Source organism: Homo sapiens, chromosome 12 (genome assembly GCF_000001405.40).
Source record: "Homo sapiens chromosome 12, GRCh38.p14 Primary Assembly".
NCBI classification, from domain to species: domain Eukaryota; kingdom Metazoa; phylum Chordata; class Mammalia; order Primates; family Hominidae; genus Homo; species Homo sapiens.
In genome coordinates, this window is record NC_000012.12 from 120,289,605 (window position 1) to 120,313,665 (window position 24,061).

At 47.3% G+C, this 24,061-nt stretch overlaps 1 protein-coding gene, 2 non-coding genes and 1 pseudogene across 7 annotated transcripts, besides 7 other annotated features; 1 reads left to right on the forward strand and 3 right to left on the reverse strand.

Moving 5' to 3' along the window:
- Window positions 309-1,301: an enhancer, noted in NCBI's record as "H3K27ac-H3K4me1 hESC enhancer chr12:120727716-120728708 (GRCh37/hg19 assembly coordinates)". NCBI's record gives its function as "activates a minimal SCP1, AML or CMV promoter by ChIP-STARR-seq in naive H9 embryonic stem cells {active_cell/tissue: H9 hESC(naive)}" and the evidence as "EXISTENCE:reporter gene assay evidence [ECO:0000049][PMID:30033119]".
- Window positions 309-2,333: a biological region, named in NCBI's record as "hESC enhancers GRCh37_chr12:120727716-120728708 and GRCh37_chr12:120728709-120729700".
- Window positions 1,102-1,396: a silencer, noted in NCBI's record as "tiled region #8153; K562 Repressive non-DNase unmatched - State 2:TssF". NCBI's record gives its function as "represses a minimal TATA promoter and a strong SV40 promoter by Sharpr-MPRA in K562 cells {active_cell/tissue: K562}" and the evidence as "EXISTENCE:reporter gene assay evidence [ECO:0000049][PMID:27701403]".
- Window positions 1,302-2,293: an enhancer, noted in NCBI's record as "NANOG-H3K27ac-H3K4me1 hESC enhancer chr12:120728709-120729700 (GRCh37/hg19 assembly coordinates)". NCBI's record gives its function as "activates a minimal SCP1, AML or CMV promoter by ChIP-STARR-seq in primed H9 embryonic stem cells {active_cell/tissue: H9 hESC(primed)}" and the evidence as "EXISTENCE:reporter gene assay evidence [ECO:0000049][PMID:30033119]".
- Window positions 2,134-2,333: a silencer, noted in NCBI's record as "silent region_4947". NCBI's record gives its function as "represses an Ori minimal core promoter by ATAC-STARR-seq in GM12878 lymphoblastoid cells {active_cell/tissue: GM12878}" and the evidence as "EXISTENCE:reporter gene assay evidence [ECO:0000049][PMID:35858748]".
- On the reverse strand, window positions 2,155-2,299 carry RNU4-2 (RNA, U4 small nuclear 2). Its single transcript, NR_003137.3, has one exon. It is a non-coding gene; the product is annotated as an RNA, U4 small nuclear 2 (small nuclear RNA).
- Window positions 2,176-23,645, forward strand: SIRT4 (sirtuin 4). Of its 5 annotated transcripts, none has more exons than XM_006719309.5 (4): window positions 2,176-3,690; window positions 13,957-14,454; window positions 22,852-23,146; window positions 23,280-23,645. In XM_006719309.5, exons 2-4 carry the CDS (start codon window positions 13,958-13,960, stop codon window positions 23,430-23,432), a joined length of 945 nt encoding a protein of 314 aa, XP_006719372.1. In that variant the 5' UTR covers window positions 2,176-3,690; window position 13,957; the 3' UTR covers window positions 23,433-23,645. The 5 variants fall into 5 exon arrangements, with proteins under 5 accessions (XP_006719372.1, NP_001372662.1, NP_001372664.1 ...); NM_001385733.2 differs by having other exon boundaries at window positions 2,585-3,338; NM_001385735.2 differs by having other exon boundaries at window positions 2,585-3,338; window positions 13,957-14,181.
- Window positions 3,286-4,277: an enhancer, noted in NCBI's record as "OCT4-NANOG-H3K27ac-H3K4me1 hESC enhancer chr12:120730693-120731684 (GRCh37/hg19 assembly coordinates)". NCBI's record gives its function as "activates a minimal SCP1, AML or CMV promoter by ChIP-STARR-seq in naive H9 embryonic stem cells {active_cell/tissue: H9 hESC(naive)}" and the evidence as "EXISTENCE:reporter gene assay evidence [ECO:0000049][PMID:30033119]".
- On the reverse strand, window positions 3,489-3,633 carry RNU4-1 (RNA, U4 small nuclear 1). Its single transcript, NR_003925.2, has one exon. It is a non-coding gene; the product is annotated as an RNA, U4 small nuclear 1 (small nuclear RNA).
- Window positions 3,514-3,623: a silencer, noted in NCBI's record as "silent region_4948". NCBI's record gives its function as "represses an Ori minimal core promoter by ATAC-STARR-seq in GM12878 lymphoblastoid cells {active_cell/tissue: GM12878}" and the evidence as "EXISTENCE:reporter gene assay evidence [ECO:0000049][PMID:35858748]".
- Window positions 23,634-23,737, reverse strand: RNU6-1088P (RNA, U6 small nuclear 1088, pseudogene; annotated as a pseudogene).

Below are 24,061 nucleotides of genomic sequence, written 5' to 3' on the forward strand. Positions count from 1 at the left end.
ATATGCAAAACCTCCACCCCTACAAAAAATAAAATAAAATTAGCTGAGTGTGGTGGCACGTGCCTATAGTTCCATCTACTCAGGAGGCTGAGGTGAGAGGATCACTTGAGCCTGGGAAGTGGAGATTGCAGTGAGCTGATATTGCATGACTGCACTCCAGCTGGGGTGACGGGGTGAGACCCTGCTCTCTCCAAAAAACAAAAACAAAAAGAACAACAACAAAAACATTCTCATATTTTTTGGTAGAGACAAGTGTCTCATGATGTTGCCCAAGCTGGTCTTGAACTCTTGGACTCAAGAGATCCTCCTGCCTTGGCCTCCCAAAGTGCTGGGATTACAGGCGTGAGCCACCAGGTCCGGCCAAGAACCCATCTCTAATAAAAAATCTGCAATAAACAGTAAGTCGAGTTTTCTTCTAGCGTGTGATGATGCTAATTATACAATGCTACATTTCTTCCCCTGCTGTTCAAGCTGTGGACCCTGGACCAGCACCTGCGAACTTTTAGAAATGCAGAATCTTAGTCTCCATCCCAGGCCTCCTGAATTGGAATCTCTAGGAATGGGGATTCGATCTGTGTCTTAACAAATTCTCAAGGTTATTTTTATGCACGCCAAAATTTAAGAAATTGTTGTAGTTTGATTTTGAAAGGACATGCACTCTTCTTTTCACGTTATTTCTAAGTTTTGGATAACTTTTTTTTTTTTCTTTTTGAGACGGAGTCTCACTCTGTCGCCCAGGCTGGAGGGCAATGGCGCGGTCTTGGCTCACTGCAATCTCCGCCTCCCGGGTTCAAGCGACTCCCCTGCCTCAGCCTCCCGAGTAGCTGGGATTACAGGCGCCCACGACCATGGCTGGCTAATTTTTTTTTTTTTTTTTTTTTTTTGTATTTTTAGTAGAGATAGGGTTTCACCATGTTGGCCAGGCTGGTCTTGAACTCCTGACCTCGTGATCTGCCCGCCCTGGCCTCCCAAAGTGCTGGGATGACAGGCGTGGGCCACCGCTCCCGGCTTCTTCTTCTTTCTTTTTTCTTTTTTTTTGAGACAGAGTCTCACTGTCACCCAGGCTGGAGTGCAGTGGCGCAATTTCAGCTCACTGCTACCTTCGCCTCCACGTCTCCAGTCTGTGAGGTCCTTGAACTGGGGACTGAGTTTAATTTGCCACTGGAGCTGTTTTTCCCAGCACCGTCTTTGACCTTGTAGGTACTGTTGCCACCCTTTTTGCCACCTCTTTTTGCTACAGGCTGGAGGAGTCTTTTATGGGCGGTGTCCTAAGCAGGTCCAGCTGGATCCGCCATGCCCAGAGTTGTGACTCCTGAGGACCTCTGTCCATGGACAGCCCAGGTCTTCGTAAAAAGGTAAGACTGGAAGAGGCTGGTGTAGTGGGAACAAGTACCACACTAGGGGCAAGAGAACCTGATAAGCCCCAGCTCTGCCGAGGACTCCACAGTAGGACCTGAGCAATCTTCTGTGCCTTTTTCCCTCTTGGTCGCTTTAAAAGGAAGAAAACGCGGTGGTTCACACCTGTAATCCCAGCACTTCGGAAGGCCGAGGTAGGCGGATCACCTGAGGTCAGGAGTTTGAAACCAGCCTGGCCAAGAAGGCGAAACCCCGTCTCCACTAAAAATACAAAAATGAGCCGGGCGTGATGTTGGGCTCCCGTAATCCCAGCTACTCCGGAGGCTGAGACAGAGAATCGCTTGAACCCGGAATGTGGAGGTTGCAGTCAGCCGAGATCGCGCCACTGTACCCCAGCCTGGGAAACAGCGAAAACTCCGTCTCAAAAAAAAAAAAAAAAAAAAAAAGGAAGACTTTGGATGTATTAATGTGTTAGTTTTAGAGTTCCCCTTCCCTTTAAGGGAATCTGTGACCTTCAGTGACAAAGGAAGTGGAGTAGCTCACTCGCTGGCTGCATTTGGATAAAAAAGATTAACGATAACTGTCTTAGTTAGAACCCAGTTCCCAACATAGTGTCATACATTTTGGAAAACAACTCACAGTACCCGCACAGAACCCCGGACATTCAATCACGGAATACTCCTGAACAACAACCAAAAAACTATCATAGGAACAGCTCATAACTTATCAAACCAAACATAAGACACAACCTGCTATAATACAACTTCCTAAAACCCTTTTCTTTAGACTTTTAAAAATTCAGTCTCCGTAGAGACTGTCAAAAATTGCCAATGCCGACTATATTTCAAGTCGTCATGGCGGGGTATTGGGAAAAGTTTTCAATTAGCAATAATCGCGCCTCGGATAAACCTCATTGGCTACGATACTGCCACTGCGCAAAGCTGGAAAGGTTCTGTTCGCGCCCCGCTCCCCCACGGATGATGACTACCATTACATTGAGGGTGAGTGCCTGCCCGTGTGTCCGTGTATACGACGTGTTCCCACTCCACCAGCCGTATTTAAGGCCCATCTGCATAGGAGGTTTCTTGTTGTTGGAACATCCCGTGTCAAACATTCAGGTTTTGAAAACCATAAGAATATTCGCTTGGGACGCTGGGGAATCTTATGCAAATCAACGTGACGTCACAGAGATGACTCGGTTGAGACTTGAATTTTGAGCGAGGAGAGTGAGCAGTGGGAAAGCGAGCCTGGAGGGCGCAGACGGACGACTAGCTGTGCTCGAGGGTGCGGAAACAGCAGGGTGGGGGGAGTTGGGAATAATTTTAGGACGTCACTGTGACAAAATCTGAATGGAGAACACGGCTGGGCGCGGTGGCTCACGCCTGTAATCCCAGCACTCTGGGAGGCCGAGGCGGGTGGATCACGAGGTCAGGAGTTCAAGACCAGCCTGGACAAGATGGTGAAACGGGGTCGCTACTAAAAATACAAAAAAATCAGCGGGGTGCGGTGGGCAGGCGCCTGTAATCCCAGCTAGTCGGGAGGCTGAGGCACGAGAATCGCTTGAACCCGGGCGGCAGTTTGCAGCGAGCCGAGATCGCGCCAGTGCACTCCAGCCTGAGCGACAGACTTCGTCTCAAAAAGAAAACAACAGTGCGAGAGAAAGAAAACAGGACAGCCAGCTGGCAAGAAAAGTCAACACCGCCCTGCATTTACCTTAAAAGTAGAGATCACAAAATCAGCAACTCCAACTTTCACAAACGGAAATCGCTAAACAGGGGTTCGGCAAAGTTTGCAGCGAGCCGAGATCACGCCAGTGCACTCCAGCCTGAGCGACAGACTTCGTCTCAAAAAGAAAACAGTGCGAGAAAGAAAACAGGACAGCCAACTGGCAAGAAAAGTCAACACCGCCCTGCTTTTACCTTAAAAGTAGAGATCACAAAATCAGCAACTCCAACTTTCATAAACGCAAATCACTAAAACAGGTAAACTTGCAGGTGCTCTCGCGAATCAGCTGGTAAGACACTTCCCCATCTCTCATTTAGAGAGTTTGCGAACAAGTACTCTTCAACCTCCCAAAACCAAGCACCCCCACACACACAAAAAAAGCCTCTGTTGTTCAACTGCAAGAAAATTCAGTCTCCGTAGAGACTGTCAAAAATTGCCAGTGCCGACTATATTGCAAGTCGTCACGGCGGGGTATTGGGAAAAGTTTTCAATTAGCAATAATCGCGCCTCGGATAGACCTCATTGGCTACGATACTGCCACTGCGCAAAGCTAATTTGTTACGCCCCCTGCTCATCACTCCCAATAAACCAGCTTCCTATTTCGCAAAGGTGAGTTTAGGGCCTATGGAAAAATCTTCACTTATTGCTTGCTTGAAAATTATACAATCATAGAAAGATGTTTGTGACCTGCGTAGGTGGTTTCTGCATATCGTTGCTGATTTCACTTAGCTAGGTTTTTGTTGATATGAAGCAAAGCACTATGGGAGGAACATGCTAATAGACTTAATTCAGAGACTGCGAAGGGCTTTTGAGAGAAAAGGGATCAAAATCAGGGTTCTGTTCACTTGGCTCCAGATTCAGTGTAACAGACTTCTCCAAAGACGATTATTGTTTTGTCTTTTTTCTTTTTCAAACTTTTTTTTAAATTATGCCAAAGTATACATAAAATTTACCATTTTAACCTTAAGTGTAAATTCACTGGCATAGAATATGTTCACATTGTTGTGTAACCATCATCACTACTTACCTCCAGAACTTTATCTTTCATGCCCAAGGGTGGAAACTGAGACTCTGTACCCATTAAACCCTTACTCCCTGTTCCCTTCTCCTCCAGCCCCCGTGGCAACCTCTTTTCTACTTTCTATCTCTATGACTTTGTGAGTACTTTATATATATATAAATGGAATCATACAATATTTGTCCTTGAGGTCAGTCTTATTTCATTCAGAATAATGTTTTTAAGGTTCATCCATGTTGTAGTATATATCAGGAATTCATTAATTTTATGGCTGAATAATATTTCACTGTATGAGATGTTATCTTTTTTTTTTTTTGAGATGGAGTTTTTGCTCTTGTTGCCCAGGCTGGAGTGCAGTGGCATGATCTCGGCTCATTGCAACCACTGCCTCCCGGATTCAAGCGATTCTCCTGCCTCCATCTCTCAAGTAGCTGGGATTACAGATGCATGCCACCACTCTTTGTATTTTTAGTAGAGACAGGATTTCACCATGTTGGCCAGGCTGGTCTCAAACTCCTGACCTCACGTGATCTGCCTGCCTCGGCCTCCCAAAGTGCTGGAATTACAGGTGTGAGCCACTTCACCCAGCCCATTTATTCTTGTCTATTTTTTTTTTTGAGACGAAGTTTTGCTTTTGTTGCCCAGGCTGGAGCGCAATGGCGAGATCAACCTCCGCCTCCCAGGTTCAAGCGATTCTCCTGCCTCAGCCTCCCGAGGAGCTGGGATTATTTTTAGTAGACACGGGGTTTCACCATGTTGGTCAGGCTGGTCTTGAACTCCTGGCCTCAGGTGATCCACCCGCCTTGGTTTCCCAAAGTGCTGGGATTACAGCCGTGAGCCACCGCGCCCGGTCCCATTCATTCTTTTTTGAGACAGCTTTTGGCTCTGTCGCCCAGGCTGGAATGCAGTGGCGCGATCTCAGCTCACTTCAACCTCTGCTTCCAGGCCTCAAGTGATCCTCCTCCCACTTCAGCTGGATACTTTCTGTATTTTTCGTACAGACAGGATCTCACCATGTTGCCCAGGCTGGTCTCGAACTCCTGGGCCCAAGTGATCCTCCCATCTTGGCCTCCCAAAGTGCTGGGACTATAGGCATGAGCTGCCGCCCGGACCAACTGTTTATCCTTTTTTTTTTTTTTTTTGAGGGGGAGTCTCGCTCTGTTGCCCAAGCTGGAGTACATAGACTCAATCTCAGCCCATGCAACCTCCGCCTCTGGGGTTCAAGCAGTTCTCCTGTCTCAGCCTCCCGAGTAACTAACTGGGATTACAGGTGCGTGCCACCAATCCTGGCTAATTTTTGTATTTTTAGTAGAGACAGGGTTTCACCATGTTGGCCAGGCTGGTCTCAAGCTCCTGACCTCAAGTGATCCTCCTGCCTCAGCCTCCCAAAGTGCTGAGCCACGGCGCCCGGCCTATCCATTTATTTTTAGATGGTCATTGCTGGTTTCCACCTTTTGTCTATGGGAATAATGCTGCTATTGGTGTGCAAATATCAGCTTAAGTTTCTGTTTTCCTTTTTTTTTTTTTTGAGACTGAGTTTCGCTCTTGTTGCGCAGTCTGGACTGCAAAGGCGCAATCTCAGCTCACCACAACCTCTGCCTCCTGGGTTCAGGTGATTCTCCTGCCTCAGCCTCCCAAGTAGCTGGGATGACAGGTATGCGCCACCATGCCTGGCTAATTTTATATATATATATGTATAAATATATATATAGATAATTTTTTTTTTTTTTTTTTTTTTAGTAGAGACGGGGTTTCTCCATGTTGGTCAGGCTGGTCTTGAACTCCTGACCTCAAGTGATCTGCCTGCCTCGGCCTCCCAAAGTGCTGGGATTACAGGTGTGAGCCACCGCGCCTGGCCCCTGTTTTCTATTCTTTGGTGTACATACCTAGAAGTAAAATTGCTGGATCATATGTTAATTCAAAAGGGTTTGGACACCTTAATTCAAAAAGAGGCTCAAATAATAAGGATTTATTTCCACAGAATGTTCACAGTTTCTAAAATTTGAAGCAACTTTCACCCTCACTGCCTGTTTTCCTTCAGGATGTAGAAAGCTATTAGAAACCTACATCTGGTCTAGGTGTGGTGGCTCGAGCGTGTAATCCCAACGCTTTGGGAGGCCAAGGCAGGTGGATCACCTGAGGTCAGGAGTTCAAGATCAGCCTGGTAACATGGCGACATCCCTGTAAATACAAAATACAAAAATACAAAATTACAAAAATACAAAATACAAAAATTAACGGGGCGTGGTGGCGCTTGCCTGTAATCCCAGCTACTAGGGGGGCTGAGGCAGGAGGATCGCTTGAACCTGGGAGGTAGAGGTTGCCATGAGCTGAGATCATGCCACTGTAATCCAGCCTGGGTGACAAAGCGAGACTCCGTCTCAAAAAAAAAAAAAAAAAAAAAAAAAAAGAAAGTAACATTTCCCCCAACATTTTATCATAAAAAATTGTAAACACGAAAAGTTCAAAGAATTCCTCAGTGAACATTCATGTACTCATCATCCATATACAAAAATGACATTTTTTTTTTTTGAGACGGAGTCTCGCTCTGTCGCCCAGGCTGGAGTGCAGTGGCGCAATCTCGGCTCACTGCGAGCTCCGCCTTCCGGGTTCACGCCATTCTCCTGCCTCAGCCTCCCGAGTAGCTGGGACTACAGGCGCCCGCCACCACGGCCGGCTAATTTTTTCTATTTTTAGTAGAGATGGGGTTTCACCGTGTTAGCCAGGATGGTCAAAAACGACATTTTAAAAGGCCTGTTTGATGCTGATGTGTTATGTGATTATTTCTAACTTGTTTTGTGTTTTTTTTTTTGTTTTTTTTTTTTTGAGACATGTTCTCAGTCGCTTAGGTTGGAGCGCAGGGGTGCAATCACGGCTCAGTGCAGCCTAAATCTCCTGGGCTCAAGCGATCTTCCCACCTCAGCCTCCCAGGTAGCTGGGACTACAGGCACACACCACCATGCCCAGCTAATTTTTCTGTATTTTTTGTAGATACAGGGTTTCACCATGTTGCCCATGCTGGTCTCCAGCTCCTGGGCTCAAGTGATCCGCCCGCCTCGGCCTCCCCAAGGGGAGGGATTACAGGCATGAGCCACTGCAGCAGATTTCTTATTTAATTCACAGCCTGGATAAAAAGAAAAGACTAGCAATGTGGTGAATTTAGATTCTTTTACTTTGATCATCCAGTCAAGGATTTAGTCATTAATTCTGGATGGGGTGGAGTTGTGAGAAAAACACTAGGCCAGGCACGGTGGCTCACGCCTGTAATCCCAGCACTTTGGGAGGCCGAGGCGGGTGGATCACAAGGTCAGGAGTTCAAGACCAGCCTGGCCAAGATGGTGAAACCTCGTCTCTACTAAAAATACAAAAATTAGCTGGGCATGGTGGCGGGCGCCTATAATCCCAGCTACTTGGGAGGCTGACATAGGAGAATCACTTGAACCCGGTAGGCGGAGGTTGCAGTGAGCCTAGATTGCGCCACTGCACTCCAGCCTGGGCGATAGAGCGAGACTCCGTCTCAAAATAAATAAATACATACATACATACATACATACATACATAAAATAAAATAAATAAATAATGGGGCTTGGTGTGGTGGCTCACGCCTGTAATCAAAAAAAAAAAAAAAAAAAAAAAAAGAGAGAGAGAAAAAGACTAAAGCCCTAATCCTAATCCCATGAGGGTATCAAAGGAACTTCCTAGCCCTTGAGAATTCTAGAATGGGTGGCCCATTACACTCTCTCAGTAGCTATCAAGTGAAATTGTGTGTTTCACCAGCTGACTTGGATGACAAAAAAAAAAAGAAATAGAAACAAAGCATACAAAAATTAAAAAAGAAAGAAAGAAAGAAAGAAAAAACAAAACAAAACAAAAAAGACTTGGATGACTTCACCGTCCAGGGATGATTTTCCAGCACTATGAGAAAAATTGAAAACTCAGCTAACTTTTCCTCAGAGCATGAGATTTTTGGGGGCCTAGAAGCACAATAGAATTCCCAACCAATCTCTATTAGTGATGATCATTCCACTTGGAGAACTGAAAAAATAACCTAGGTTTGAACTTTTTCATAGTAAAATTGGTGAATGGGGAAGGAGAATGTCACTGTTCTCACATTTTTAAAAGTTATGATCAAATACCCAGAAAATGTGTGCAGAAAATGTGCTGGATTATAATTTTTAAATTTTGGGGGGGATTATAATTTTTTTGACAACGAAAATTTCAGTCTAGCTTCTGGTGCTTTCTTTCAGCAGATGTGGTCAGGTTAACTAATGCAGAAAGGGCTGTCAGTGGCTGGAGTGCAGTCACAGGATCATGGCTCACTGCAGCCTTGAAAAAAAAAGGGGGTGGCCGGGCGCAGTGGCTCACACCTGTAATCCCAGATACTGGGGAGGCTGAGGCAGGAGAATCACTTGAACCCGGGAGGCGGAGGTTGCGGTGAGCCAAGATGGCGCCATTGCACTCCAGCCTGGTCAACAAGAGTGAAACTCCATCTCAAAAAAAAAAAAAAAAAAAAAAAAAAGGAGGGGGCTGTCATATGAGTTTCCCCGCCTAGTAGATCCTACAGCTACTGACTTTCGCTGTTGCTGGAGCTACTACTCCCTGTGTACTAAGTTAAAAAGAATCGGCCAGGCGCAGTAGCTCACGCCCGTAATCACAACACTTTGGAAAGCCTAGAGCCCAGGAGTTCGAGACCAGCCTGGGCAACATGGTGAAACCCCGTCTCTACAAAAAAATACAAAAATTAGCTGGGCTTGGTGGCCCACCTGTAGTCCCAGCTACTCAGGAGGCTGAGGTGGGAGGATGGTTTGAGTCCAAGAGGTTGAGGCTGTAGTGCGCAGTGATCGTGCCTCTGAACTCCCGCCTGGGTGAAAGAGTGAGACCATGTCCCCAAAATAAAAAAATAAGCTTTTAAATAATTAAAGTGGCAGGGCGCAGTGGCTCATGCCTGTAATTCCAGCACTTTGGGAGGCTGAGGCGGGCGGATCGCGAGGTCAGGAGTTCGAGACCATGCTGACAAGCATGGTGAAACCCCGTCTCTACTAAAAATACAAAAATTAGCCGGGCATGGTGGCGGGCACCCGTAATCCCAGCTACTCGGGAGGCTGAGGCAGGAGAATCACTTGAACCCGGGAGGCGGAGGTTGCAGTGATCTGAGATCGTGCCACTGCACTCCAGCCTGGGCACAGAGCAATATTCCGTCTCAAAAAATAAATAAATAAATAAATAAATAAATAAATAAATAGCCGGGCGCGGTGGCTCACGCCTGTAATCCCAGTACTTTGGGAGGCTGAGGCGGGCGGATCACGAGGTCAAGAGATAGAGACCATCCTGGCTAACACGGTGAAACCCCGTCTCTACTAAAAAAAAAATACAAAAAATTAGCCGGGTGTGGTGGCGGGCGCCTGTAGTCCGGAGGCTGAGGCAGGAGAATCGCGTGAACCCGGGAGGCGGAGCTTGTAGTGGGCCGAGATCTCTCCACTACACTCCAGCCTGGGCGACAGAGCGAGACTCCGTCTCAAAAATAAATAAATAAATAAATAAATACAATAATAATAATAATAAAAGTGGCGGGGTGCAGTGGCTCACTCCTGTAATCCTAGCATTTTAGGAGACTGAGGCAGGTGGGTCACCTGAGGTCACGAGTTCAAAACCAGCCTGGCCAACATGACGAAACCCCATCTCTACTAAAAATACAAAAATTAGCCGGGCGCAGTGGCGAGCGCCTGTAATCCTAGCTACTCCGGAGGCCGAGGCAGCAGAATCACTTCAGCCGGGAAGGCAGAGGCTTCAGTGAGTGAAGATCGCGCCACTGCACTCCAGCCTGGGCAACAGAGCTAGACTCTCTCAAAAAAAAAAAAAAAAAATTAAAGTTAGTTTTACTTACAAGTCTTACTGAGGATTACAGACCGAGGGCTATAGTGTGGGAGCAGTTCCATCAGACTGGTCCAACACAGAATTTCAGCCACTCATATACAAGTGGTGAGTGTACGGCGCCTGCAAAATCACATTAAACTTGCTTCAAAGTTACATTAAAGCACAATCATATCAAAGTTTGGGTGCAAGAGTATATCTGGTTATGGATTACAGAGGTATCATCACTAACCCCATCAGACATTATCTTGTGCAGGAAAAGGCAATGACCAGAGTCATTTATCTTTTAATGAATATAGTGACTTGGAAGAGACATGGAGGGCTGTGTGCTCTATTCTGTTTTGTCTTCAAAGCATCTTTCTGGAGAGCTGTATGTTGTCACAGAGTCAGGGGCTTCATGAAACGATGCTGCCAAGTCGAAATAAGCAGGCCCGGCATGGTGGCTCACACCTGTAATCCCAGCACTTTGGGAGGCCAAAGCAAGAGCTTTCCTTGAGTTCAGGAGTTTGAGACCAGCCTGAGCAACATAGTGAGACCGTGTCTCGACAAAAATAAAAAATAACAAAATTTAGCTGGGCGTGGTGGTGGATGCCTGTGATCTCAGCTACTCGAGAGGATGAGGTTGGAGGATCCCTTGGGCCTGGGAAGTAGAAACTGCAGTGAGCTGTGATGTCACAACTGCACTCCAGCCTGGGTGACAGAACGAGACCCTGTCTCAAAAAAAAGAAAAAAAAAAAGCAGAAATGGGCAAACTACTAAATGGTCATTTTGCCAATATTACCTCCAAAGATACAATGATAGAACCAAAAACCTAAAAACTCTTTCTCAAGCTTCCACATTACTTCTCTGCACTTCAGTTCATCTTTATTTATTATTATTATTTTTTGAAGAGATGGGATCTCACTTTGTCACCCAGGCTGAAGTGCAGTCGCACAATTATGGCTCACTGCAGCCTCGATCTCCTGGGCTCAAAGTGATCCTCCCACCTGAGCCTCTTGAGTAGCTGGGACTACAGGCACACACCACCACACCCCGCTAATTTTGTTTATTTTTTGTAGTGAGTGGGTCTCACTATGTTGCCCAAGCTGGTCTTGAACTTTTGGGCTCAAGTGATCCTCCTGCCTTGGCCTCCCAAAGTGTTGGTATTACAGGTGGGAACCACTGCACTCAGCCCAATTCATCTTAAAATGGGGGAAGGGAGTCCTTAGGTGGTCTTCAAGGTCCCTGCTGGCCGCCCACCTTTATGTCCAAAGACACTTATACATTTATTGATTTAGGTGATGCTGCAGAGCGGCAGTTCTGGTTGTCTACACATTAGGAACAATTAGGAAATTTGTAGATCAGAATCCCTGGGAGTGAGACGCAGGCCTTGTTTGATTAACTTAATAAAAAAAATATGATAAATAAAATTGGAGAAGCCAAGCAGGTTAAGTACATTAGTCCAGGTATAATATATTTGGCTTCATATTAACTGTAAAAACATCACTTTTGGCTGGGCACAGTGGCTTACGCCTGTAATCCCAGTACTTTGGGAGGCTAGGGTGGGCAGATCACGAGGTCAGGAGATCAAGACCATCCTGGCTAACATGGTGAAACCTTGTCTCTACTAAAAATAAAAAAATTAACCGGGCGTAGTGGCATGCGCCCATAATCCCTGCTACTCAGGAGGCTGAGGCAGGAGAATTGCTTGAACCCGGGAGGCGGAGGTTGCAGTGAGCCGAAATGGCACCATTGCACTCCAGCCTGGGCAACAGAGCGAGACTCCGTCTCAAAAACAAACAAACAAACAACAACAACAACAACAACAAACTATCACTTTTTCAGATATGTATAAACACATTTCTTCACAAGTTCAAGGTATTTTACCAATAGCAAATAACTTGATACTGTCGTTGTGAATGAAAAGGATCACAAACTCTGATGTTTAGAATGAGTCAAATCTAGGCCGGGAACAGTGGCTCAGGCCTGTAATCCCAGCATTTTGGGGGGCCGAGGTTGGCGGATCACCTGAGGTCGGGAGTTCGAGACCAGCCTGGCCAACATGGTGAAACTCTGTCTCTACTAAAAATACAAAAACTTTAAAAAAAAGTCAAATCTAGATCCATGATTAATGACGTGCTCATTTCACATTGCATGTTTGTATCAAAACATCTCATGTGGGTAAAGCATAGACAGGCACAGAGAAAAGAAAAAAAGACAAAAAATAAGAGAAAAGATGGCCGGGCGCAGTGGCTCACGCCTATAATCCCAGCACTTTGGGAGGTCAAGGCGTGCGGATCACCTGAGGTTAGGAGTTCAAGACGAGCCTGGCCAACATGGCGAAACCCCCGTCTCTACTAAAAATACAAAAATAATCCCAGCTACTCGGGAGGCTGAGGCAGGAGAATCGGTTGAACCCGGGAGAGGGAGGTTGCAGTGAGCCGAGATCGTGCCACTGCACTCCAGACTGGAGTTTTTTCAAAAAAAAAAAACAACAACTCCGTCTTAAAAAAAAAAAAGAAAAAAGAAAAAAAATCTTATGTACACTATAAATATATACACCTACTAAGTGCCCACAGAAATTGAAAACAAAGAAAAAAATCCATGATTAAAAGCTTTTATATTAACGGGGGAACCTCTGACCAGAAAGAGCCGACAGGGGGCGTTCCTGGATGATCTGGGGCTGTCAATTGCGAGACGCGGAGGATTGTGGGACTTGTGGTTTTTCTCGCATCATTTAAGCTTTCTGGACTACATGTCCCAAAATGCAAATGCAATCAGACGGTCCCACTGTGGGGTGTGAAGTGTCCGTAGAGCTGTGAGAGGTAAGTGTGTTCTGTGTGTGCTGCGGATTTCTAGAAGTTGTGGATTTCTTGTGAGGGATTCTATTTCTCCTCTTTGCCCTCGGTGGGACCTGGAAGAGAGTAGTTGTTCCACTGATGCACGTTTTCAGCGGGGGTTTCCCCTGACCCTTTGGTCTCGGGAAACCGGACTGTGTGTTTGTTCAGCTGTTCACGTTTTGCTGTGGAATGTCAAGGAGAAAGCGGGGTCCTGATCTCAGATCTGGAAAGCCAAACATAAAATAATGTTTACATACGGGGTGCATGTCACTAGAGGATTTATGCATTGCATTGTGTCAAATAATATGTCAAAGTTTTTTCTTTTTCTTTTTTTTTTTTTTTTTGATACGGAGTCTTGCTTCTTCGCCCAGGCTGGAGTGCAACGGCGCGATCTCGGCTCACTGCAACCTCCGCCTCCCGGGTTCAAGCAATTCTCCTGCCTCAGCCTCCCTAGTAGCTGGGATTACGGGCACGTGCCACAATGCCCGGCTAATTTTTTTTGTATTTTTAGTAGAGTCGGGGTTTCACCATGTTGGCCAGGCATGTCTCGAACTCCTGATCTCAAGTGATCTGCCTGCGTCGGCCTCCCAAAGTGCTGGGATTTCAGACGTGAGCCACCGCACCCGGCCCTCTATTGTTACAGCTAGAAAAGCTGACGGGCAGGGGTCTTGTCTCTCTGATGTGTCCAAGTAGCAGAGCTTGCAGTGGAGGGTAAACTAAAATAAGGGGGAAATGAAAAAATAAAAGGAATGCGTGTGTGTGCTTAATTACATGAACAAAATCAAACAAAACCTGACTCATTAGGGCCAGACTCAGAGGCTCACACCTGTAATTCCAGCACGTTGGGAGGCCGAGGCGGGCAGATCACTAGAGCTCAGGAGTTCGAGACTAGCCTGGCCAACATGGTGAAACCCTGCCTCTACTAAAAATACAATAATTAGCCGGGCATGGTGGCCATGTAGTCCCAGCTATTCTGGAGGCTGAGGCAGGAGAATCACTTGAACCCGGGAGGCGGCGGTTACAGTGAGCCAAGATCATGCCACTGTACTCTAGCCTGGGCAACAGAGGGAGACTCTGTCTCAAAAAACAAAACGAAAACAAACAAACAAAAAATGAGAAAAAAAAAAAACCACCCCAGTTTCTCACATGAGGCTTCTTTTTCTCTAGAATGAAGATGAGCTTTGCGTTGACTTTCAGGTCAGCAAAAGGCCGTTGGATCGCAAACCCCAGCCAGCCGTGCTCGAAAGCCTCCATTGGGTTATTTGTGCCAGCAAGTCCTCCTCTGGACCCTGAGAAGGTCAAAGAGTTACAGCGCTTCATCACCCTTTCCAAGAGACTCCTTGTGATGACTGGGGCAGGAATCTCCACCGAATCGGGGATACCAGACTACAGGTCAGAAAAAGTGGGGCTTTATGCCCGCACTGACCGCAGGCCCATCCAGCATGGTGATTTTGTCCGGAGTGCCCCAATCCGCCAGCGGTACTGGGCGAGAAACTTCGTAGGCTGGCCTCAATTCTCCTCCCACCAGCCTAACCCTGCACACTGGGCTTTGAGCACCTGGGAGAAACTCGGAAAGCTGTACTGGTTGGTGACCCAAAATGTGGATGCTTTGCACACCAAGGCGGGGAGTCGGCGCCTGACAGAGCTCCACGGATGCATGGACAGGTGCAGGAGCTGTACACGGTTTGAACGCAAACCCGTGTGTTGTTTTGGGAGAGTAGGGACCTTGGCTGTCTTGATCACCACAGTCTTAGACCTTGAGAAAAGGATTTCAGAGCAAGTTGTTTATTTTGCAGTTGATTCCAGTAAATTCATTGACGGAGCAAGGATGTAAAACAGGAAAGAGAGGAAAGCCAAGAAAGTGTGTGTTAATGAGTGGGTTACTGCCTTGGGCACTGGGGTTCAGTCCTGTGAGGGACCCTCCAACTGTCTAGGACATGCCTGAGGATTGTCTCAATGAAACTTGAGGACTGGGGCCGGGCGCAGTGGCTCACGCCTGTAATCCCAGCATTTTGGGAGGCTGAGGTGGGCAGATCACATGAGCTCAGGAGTTCGAGACCAGCCTGGCCAACATGGTGAAACCCCATTTCTACTAAAAATACAAAAATTAGCCAGTCGTGGTGGCACATGCCTGTAATCCCAGCTGCTTGGGAGGCTGAGGCAGGAAAATCTCTTGGGAGGCAGAGGTTGCTGCAGTGAGCCGAGATTGCACCACTACACTCCAGCCTGGGCAACAGTGCAAAAAAAAAGAAAAAAAGAAAAAAAAAAGTTGAGGATGGTGCACAGTGGCTCATACCTGTAATCCTAGCACTTTGGAAGGCTGAGGCAGGAAGATTGCTTGAGGCTAACAGTTCAGGACCAACCTGGCAAACACAGTGAGACTCTGTCTCTATATAAGTAAAGTAAATTTTATATATATATATATATATATATATATATATATTTTTTTTTTTTTTTTTTTTTTTTAAAGAAAGTTGAGGCCGGGTGTGGTGGCTCACGCCTGTAATCCCAGCACTTTGGGAGGCCAAGGCAGGCAGATTACCTGAGGTCAGGAGTTCAAGACCAATCTGGTCAACATGGTGAAACCCCGTCTCTACTAAAAATACAAAAATCTGTTGGAAGTGGTGGCACGCACCTGTAATTCCAGCTACTCAGGAGGCTGAGGCAGGAGAATCGCTTGAACCTGGGAGGTAGAGGTTGCAGTGAGCTGAGATCATGAGCTGAGATCATGCCACCACACCCCAGCCTGGGCAACAGAGCAAAACTCCGTCTCAAAAAGAAAAAAAAAAAAGAAAGTTGAGCAAGCTAGGGTGATTTTCTTTTATTTTCTTTTGTGTTTGTGTGTGCACGTGTGTGTGTGTGTGTGTGTGTGTGTATGACAGGCTTTCACTCTGTCACACAGACTGGGATGTGGTGGTGTGATTATAGCTCACTTCAGCCTCAATCTCTTGGGCTCAAGTGATCCTTTCACCCCAGCCTCCTAAGTAGCTGGGACTACAGGCAAACGCCACCGTGCCCAGCTAATTTTTAATTTAATTTTTATTTTTTGTAGAGACGAAGTCTTACTATGTTGCCCAGGCTGGTCTCGAACTCCTGGGCTCATGTGATCCTCCTGCCTTGGCATCTCAAAGTGCTGGGATGACTAGTGTGAGCCACTGTGCTTGGCCTTGAAGCTAGGGTATTTATTCACCATCTCTCATCCCTCATGGGTCCAGGATCACTCTAGGGGAATTAATTCCCTAACATTTTGACTCTGCTCCTCCCAAGGAGGCTTCCGTGGGCAGAGAACATCTGAGGCAAGAGAGACACAGGAAACTGCTTGTAAGAAAATTGTGTAGGCTGGGCGCGGCGGCTCACGCCTGTAATCCCAACACTTTGGGAGGCTGAGGCAGGCGGATCACGAGGTCAGTTGATCGAGACCATCCTGGCTAACATGGTGAAACCCCGTCTCTACTAAAAATACAAAAAATTAGCTGGGCGCGGTGGCGGACGCCTGTAGTCCCAGCTACTCGGGAGGCTGAGGCAGGAGAATGGCGTGAACCTGGGAGGTGGAGCTTGTGGTGAGCCGAGATCGCGCCACTGCACTCCAGCCTGGGTGACAGAGCGAGACTCCGTCTCAAAAAAAAAAAAAAAAGAAAGAAAGAAAATTGTGTCCACCAGGGTGCTGTGGTTCATATCTGTCATCCCAGCAACTCAGGAGGCTGAAGCAGGAGGATTACTTGAGGCCAGGAGATCAAGACCTGCCTGGGTAACACAGCCAGACTCCGTCTCTACAAAAAATTTTTTTAAGAAAGGAAATTGGCTGGGCACGGTGGCTCGCGCCTGTAATCCCAGCACTTTGGGAGGCTGAGTTGGGCGGATCACCTGAGGTCAGGAGTTCGAGACCAGCCTGACCAACATGGAGAAACCCTGTCTCTACTAAAAATACAAAATTAGCTGGGCGTGGTGGTGCATGCCTGTAATCCTAGCGACTCGGGAGGCTTAGACAGGAGAATAGCTTGAACCCAAGAGGCGGAGGTTGCGGTGAGCCGAGATTGTGCCATTGTACTCCAGCCTGCAGCCTGGGCAACAAGAACAAAACTCCGTCAAAAAAAAAAACAAACAAAAAAACAGAGAAAGGAAACTGGGACGGGTGCGGTGGCTCATGCTTGTAATCCCAGCACTTTGGGAGGCAGAGGCAGGCAGATCACTTGAGGTCAGGAGTTCGAGACCATCCTGGCCCACACGGTGAAACCCCATCTCTACTAAAAATACAAAAAATTACCTGGGCATAGTGGCGCACGCCTGTAGTCTCAGCTATTTGGGAGGCTGAGGCACGAGAGTCGCCTGAACCTGGGAGGCAGAGGTTGCAGTGAGCCAAGATTGTGCCACTGCACTCCAGCCTGGACAACAGAGTGAGACTCTATCTCAATAAAAAAACAAAAAGAAAGGAAACTGTTCGAACGTGGCCTTTAGCATGTTCTGAGGAAAATATGAGCTGAACACCAATAGCATGTGCTATAAACTGCTGGGTTTCCAATGCCTAGGATGGCTAGATACATAGACCATAACGTAGCCGGGCAGTAGTCAGAACTCAATCAATAATGAGGGAACAGATACATGGGAGGGTATCATGCTTATGGGTCTGGCAATAATTGTAGCTAATTGGAGACTTATTTCTTTAAGCCCTAGAGAGGCTCCTCTGAGGGCTGAAGTCAGTCTGCCAATGCTGAAATATTTACTGGGTGCCTAGAATGTATGGTGTACATACGTTACACTATGTAGTACATTATAACACTAACTACTGTGCTTCTTAGTGGTCAGAACCAAAGTATAGGCTGGGCTCAGTGGCTCACACCTATAATCCCAGCATTTTGAGAGGCTGAGGGGGCGGATCACTTGAGCTCAGGAGTTTGAGACCAGCCTGGCCAATATGTCGAAACCCAGTCTCTACTAAAAATAAAAGATTGGCCAGGCGTGGTGGCGGGCGCCTATAGTCCCAGCTACTCGGGAGGCTGAGGCAGGAGAATTGCATGAACATGGGTGGCAGAGGTTGCAGTGAGCCAAGATCGTGCCATTGCACTCCAGCCTGGGCGACAGAGGGAGATTGTCTCAAACAACAAACAAAAACCAAAGTATAAAACATGGCCCACTTTATATGCAAGAACTTTGTAATATTTGGGAAGACACAAAAATAACATAATTGGCCGGGCACGGTGGCTCACGCCTGTAATCCGAGCACTTTGGGAGGCCGAGGCAGGGGATCACCTGAGGTCAGGAGTTCAAGACCAGCCTGACCAACACAGTGAAACCCTGTCTCTACTAAAAATACAAAATTAGCCAGGCATGGTGGTGCATGCCTATAATCCCAGCTACTCAGGAGGCTGAGACAGGAGAATCATTTGAACCCGGGAGGCAGAGGTTGTAATGAGCTGAAATCGCACCATTGCACTCCAGCCTGGGCAACAAGAACGAAACTCCTTCTCAAAAAACAACCAAGCAAACAAACAAAGAAAAGCACATAATTAATGATAAATGACAACGCATGATTGTGAAATTGTGTGGTTCTTGATTTATATGCTGTGCATGTTCAAATAAACAGATTTAGTAAAGATTGGAATAATCAGTTGAGAAAGCTTTTTAAAAAAAAAATTTTTTTTTTTAAATAGAGACAGGATCTTGCTGTGTTGCCTAGTCTGGTCTCGAACTCCTAAGCTCAAGCCCTCCTCCTGCCTTGATCTTCCAAAGTGTTGGGATTACAGGTGTGAGCCACCATGCCTGGCCCAAGAAAGCTTTTTTTTTTTTTTTTTTTTTGAAACACAGTCTTGTTCTTGTTGCCCAGGCTGGAGTGCAGTGGCACGGTCTCGGCTCACTGCAACCTCCGCCTCCTGGGTTCAAGTGATTCTCCTGCCTCAGCCTCCCAAGTAGTTGGGATTACAGGTGCCTGCCACCACCCCCAGCTAATTTTTTGTATTTGTAGTAGAGGTAGGGTTTCATCATGTTGGCCAGGCTGGTCTCGAACTCACTCCTGACCTCGTGATCCGCCTGCCTCGGCCTCCCAAAGCGCTGGGATTACAGGCGTGAGCCACAGCGCCTGCCCCAAGAAAGCTTTTATGGGTACAGGGGGCTTGAGATTGGCTCAGGTTTGTCTAGGCAAGAGCGGGAAACAGGGCTTTCCAAATGAAGGGAAGTTGTAGATCCCAGAGGAGTCTGGCCTGGCCTCTGTAGAGGTTTGGACCTGGGACTTGCAGAAACCAGATTGTCTGGGAAAGTTAGGCCCAAATCATGGTTACATTTGAAAATCAGGCAGTGCAGTTGGGTCTGCTGTGAGACACCAAAGGGGTTTATTAGTGGTTTCTGAGCAAGCAAGCAACATGATAAAAATAGCATTTGAGGAAGGCTAAACAGGATTAAAAAGAGCAGGTCAGGGAGGTCAGCCTGAAAGACCTAGACTAAGGTGGTATCCAGGGAATTTGAGTTAATGATGCTTATGGATTCATTAAAACAATTTTTTCCGCCGGGCGTGGTGGCTCATGCCTGTCATCTCAGCACTTTGGGATGCCGAAGCGGGTGGATAACCTGAGGTCGGGAGTCAAGACCAGCCTGACCAACATGGAGAAACCCTGTCACTACTAAAAGTACAAGAACAACAAAAAATTAGCCGGGCATGGTGGCACATGCCTGTAATCCCAGCTACTCGGGAGGCTGAGGCAGGAGAATCGCTTGAACCTGGGAGGCGGAGGTTGCGGTGAGCCAAGACTGTTGTGCCATTGCCCTCCAGCCTGGGCGACAAGAGTGAAACTCTGTCTCAAAAAAAACTCACAATTTTTTTCATGAAGAAAATCTGTTCTTTTAATAATGAAAATTTCAAACTTCACAAAAGTAAAGAGAATTGTATAATGAATTCTCATATACCATCACCCAGATTCCAAGGTTTTATCAAGATTTTGTCATGTCTACTTTATCCATTCTGTCTCTTCTTAAGCATTTTAAAACAATCCAGGACTTCTTGACATTTCACAGGGGCCTTTTTTTCTTTTCTTTTTTTTTTTTTTTTGAGACAGAGTCTCACTCTGTCGCCTAGGCTGGAGAGCAGTGGTGAGATCTTGGCTCACTGCAACCTCCACCTCCCGGGTTCAACCGATTCTCCTGCCTCAGCCTCCTGAGTAGCTGGGATTACAGGCATGCACCACCATGCCCGGCTAATTTTTGTATTTTTGGTAGAGACTGGGTTTCACCGTGTTGGGCCAGGCTGGTCTCAAACTCCTGACCTCAGGTGATCTGCCTGCCTTGGCCTCCCAAAGTGCTGGGATTACAGGCATGAGCCACTGTGCCCGCTTTCTTTTTTTTTTTTTTTTTTTGAGATGAAGTCTTGCTCTGTCACCTAGGCTGGAGTACAATGGCATGATCTTGGCTCACTGTAACCTCTACATCCTGGGTTCAAGCAATTCTCCTGTCTCAACCTCCTGAGTAGCTGGAATTACAGGTGTGCACCACCACACCCGGCTAATTTTTTTGTATTTTTGTAGAGACAGGGTATCACCATGTTGGCCAGGCGGGTCTCAAACTCCTGACCTCAACTGATCCACCCATCTTGGCCTCCCAAATTGCTGGGATTACAGGTGTGAGTCACCGTGCCCGGCCTGGCCTTTTTTTCTTTTTTAGACAGGGTCTGGTTCTGACACCCAGGCTAGAGTGCAATGGTGCCATCATAACTCCCTGTAACCTAGAACTCCTGGGTAATTAGAACTCCAGCTAATTAAAAAATTTTTTTTGGCTAGGCGTGGTGGCTCACGTCTGTAGTCTCAGCACTTTGGGAGGCCGAGGTGGGCAGATCACAAAAATTAGCTGGGCGTGGTGGCAGGCGCCTGTAATCCCAGCTGCTCGGGAGGCTGAGGCAGGAGAATCGCTTAAGCCCAGGAGGCGGAGGTTGCAGTGAGCCGAGATCGCGCCATTGCACTCCAGCCTGGGCGACAGAGCAAGACCCCGTCTCAAAAAACAAAGACAAGCCAAAAAAATTTTTTTTGTAGAGAGAGCGTCTTGCTGTCTACCCAGACTGGTCTGGAACTCCTGAGCTCAAGCGATTCTCTTGCTTTACGCTCCCAAAGTGCTGGGATTACAAGGTGTGAGCCACCATGCCTGGCCACAGGGGTTCTTTTAAGAGAAGAAAATCAACATAATCTGATGGCTGACTAGAACTAAAAGGAGAAAAATGAGGCTGGTTGTGGTGGCTCACACCTGTAGTCCCAGCACTTTGGAAGACTAAGGCAGGAGGATTGCTTGAGCCTAGGAGTTCGAGGCTGCAGTGAGCTATGATCATGCCACTGCACTCCAGGTAAGAGCCACCACGCCTGGCCAAGACCCTGTCTCTTTTTTTTTTTTGAGACGGAGTCTCGCTCGTTGCCCAGGCTGGAGTGCAGTGGTGCTATCTCGGCTCACTGCAAGCTCCGCCTCCCGGGTTCACGCCATTCTCCTGCCTCAGCCTCCCGAGTAGCTGGGACTACAGGCGCCCGCCACCACGGCCGGCTAATTTTTTGTATTTTTAGTAGAGATGGGGTTTCACCGTGTTAGCCAGGATGGTCTCGATCTCCTGACCTCGTGATCCGCCCGCCTCGGCCTCCCAAAGTGTTGGGATTACAGGCGTGAGCCACCACGCCCAGCCTGACCCTGTCTCTTAAAAAAAAAAAAAAAAAAAAAAAAAATAGGCCGGGCGCAGTGGCTCATGCCTGTAATCCCAGCATTTTGGGAGGCCAAGGCGGGCAGACCACCTGAGGTCAAGAGTTCGAGACCAGCCTCAACATGGAGAAACCCCGTCTCTACTAAAAATACAAAATTAGCCGGGCGTGGTGGTGCATGCCTGTAATCCCAGCTACTCGGGAGGCTGAGGCAGGAGAATTGCTTGAACCTGGGAGGCAGAGGTTGCGGTGAGCCAAGATCGCGCCATTGCACTCCAGCCTGGGCAACAAGAGTGAAACTCCGTCTCAAAAAAATAAAAAATAAAATAAAAAAATAAAAACAGACACAAAGTGCTCTCCCTCACTGGCTCAAGCTCTGGTGATTGGAGAGGTGAGAAGGGGGGCCAGGTGCAGTGGCTCACACCTGTAATCCCAGCACTTTGGGAGGCCAAGGCAGGCGGATCACCTGAGGTCGGGAGTTTGAGACCAGCCTTACCAACATGGAGAAACCCCGTCTCTACTAAAAATACAAAAAAAATTAGTCGGGTGTGGTAGAGCCTGCCTGTAATCCCGGCTACTCAGGAGGCTGAGGCAGGAGAATCGCTTGAGACCAGGAGGTGGAGGTTGCGGTGAGCCAAGATCATGCCATTGCACTCCAACCTGGGCAATGAGAGTGAAACTTGCTCTCAAAAAAAAAAAAAAAAAAAAAAAAAAAAAGAGGTGAGAAGAGAACCAGGAGACACTGTGTCCTGGAAACCAAGAAGGAGAAGCATTTTAGAAGGAATGGTAATAGACAGTGGCAAATTCAGCAGATGAGCAAGGGAAAGTATAGAGGGAAAAACGCAGGTTTGGGCATTAAGGAAATCAGCAGGCAAGGCATTTGCAGTCATGTTAAGGATAAAAGTGAGCTATAGCAGAAGGTTAGGAAGGAGTGTATAGGAAGGAAATTGATGGGCTGGGCGCAGTGGCTCACACCTGTAATCCCAGCACTTTGGGAGGCCAAGGAGGGAGGATCACTTGAGGCCAGGAGTTTGAGACCAGCCTGGGCGACACAGTGAAACACCGTCTCTACCAAAACTACAAAAATTAGCTGGGCGAGATGGCGCGTGTTTGTAGTGCAGTCCCTGCCACTCAGGAGGATGAGGTGGGAGGATAACCTGAGCCCAGGAGGTTGAGGCTGCAGTGAGCTGAGATCGTGCCACTGCATTCCAGCCTGGGCAACAGCCAGACCCTGTCTCCAAAAATAAAAAAAATAAAATAGAAAGTATGGCTAAAATGGGGTGGGGATTGTGTGTTAGGGAAAGAAAGCAGCGATGGAAGGGCTGAAAATGGTTGGAGATGAAACGTCTCTGACAGCTTTGTGCCTCCCAAGGGCATACTGTTCAGTCAGCGTCTTCCTTGGTTCCAGGGTCCTGTGCTTGGATTGTGGGGAACAGACTCCCCGGGGGGTGCTGCAAGAGCGTTTCCAAGTCCTGAACCCCACCTGGAGTGCTGAGGCCCATGGCCTGGCTCCTGATGGTGACGTCTTTCTCTCAGAGGAGCAAGTCCGGAGCTTTCAGGTCCCAACCTGCGTTCAATGTGGAGGCCATCTGAAACCAGATGTCGTTTTCTTCGGGGACACAGTGAACCCTGACAAGGTTGATTTTGTGCACAAGCGTGTAAAAGAAGCCGACTCCCTCTTGGTGGTGGGATCATCCTTGCAGGTATCTGACTTGGCAAGAGTGGTAACCACCCCTTGTGCGGGATTGGGAGTCCTGGAGAGACACCCTGTTTGGTTTAACTTTTTCTAGATCTAGAGAACCTAGACATTCTTATGTGTGTCTTTTCTCCGTGCAGGTATACTCTGGTTACAGGTTTATCCTCACTGCCTGGGAGAAGAAGCTCCCGATTGCAATACTGAACATTGGGCCCACACGGTCGGATGACTTGGCGTGTCTGAAACTGAATTCTCGTTGTGGAGAGTTGCTGCCTTTGATAGACCCATGCTGACCACAGCCTGATATTCCAGAACCTGGAACAGGGACTTTCACTTGAATCTTGCTGCTAAATGTAAATGCCTTCTCAAATGACAGATTCCAGTTCCCATTCAACAGAGTAGGGTGCACTGACAAAGTATAGAAGGTTCTAGGTATCTTAATGTGTGGATATTCTTAATTAAAACTCATTTTTTTTAAATAAAAAATTGTTCAGCTTTATATGAAATGCTTCATGAATTTGTGTGTCATTCTTGCACAGGGGTCATACTAACCTCTGTATCATTCCAATTTTAGTATATGTGCTGCTGAAGAGAGCACTAAAACTAATTTTTTTTTTTTTTTGAGACAGGATCTGGCTCTGTCACCCAGGCCGAAGTGCAATGGCCTGACCTCAGCTCACTGCAACTTCTGCCTGCCAGGTTCAAGCCATCCTCCCACCTCTGCCTCCCAAGTAGCTAGGACTACAGGCGTGCACCACCATACCCAACTAATTGTTTTTATTTTTTGTAGAGACAGGGTCTCACTTTGTCACCCAGGCTGGTCTCGAAGTCCTGAGCTCAAGCTCTCCACCCGCCTCAGCCTCCCAAAGTGCTGACTTTATAGGCACGAGCTACCACACCCGGCCAAAACTTTTTTTTTTGA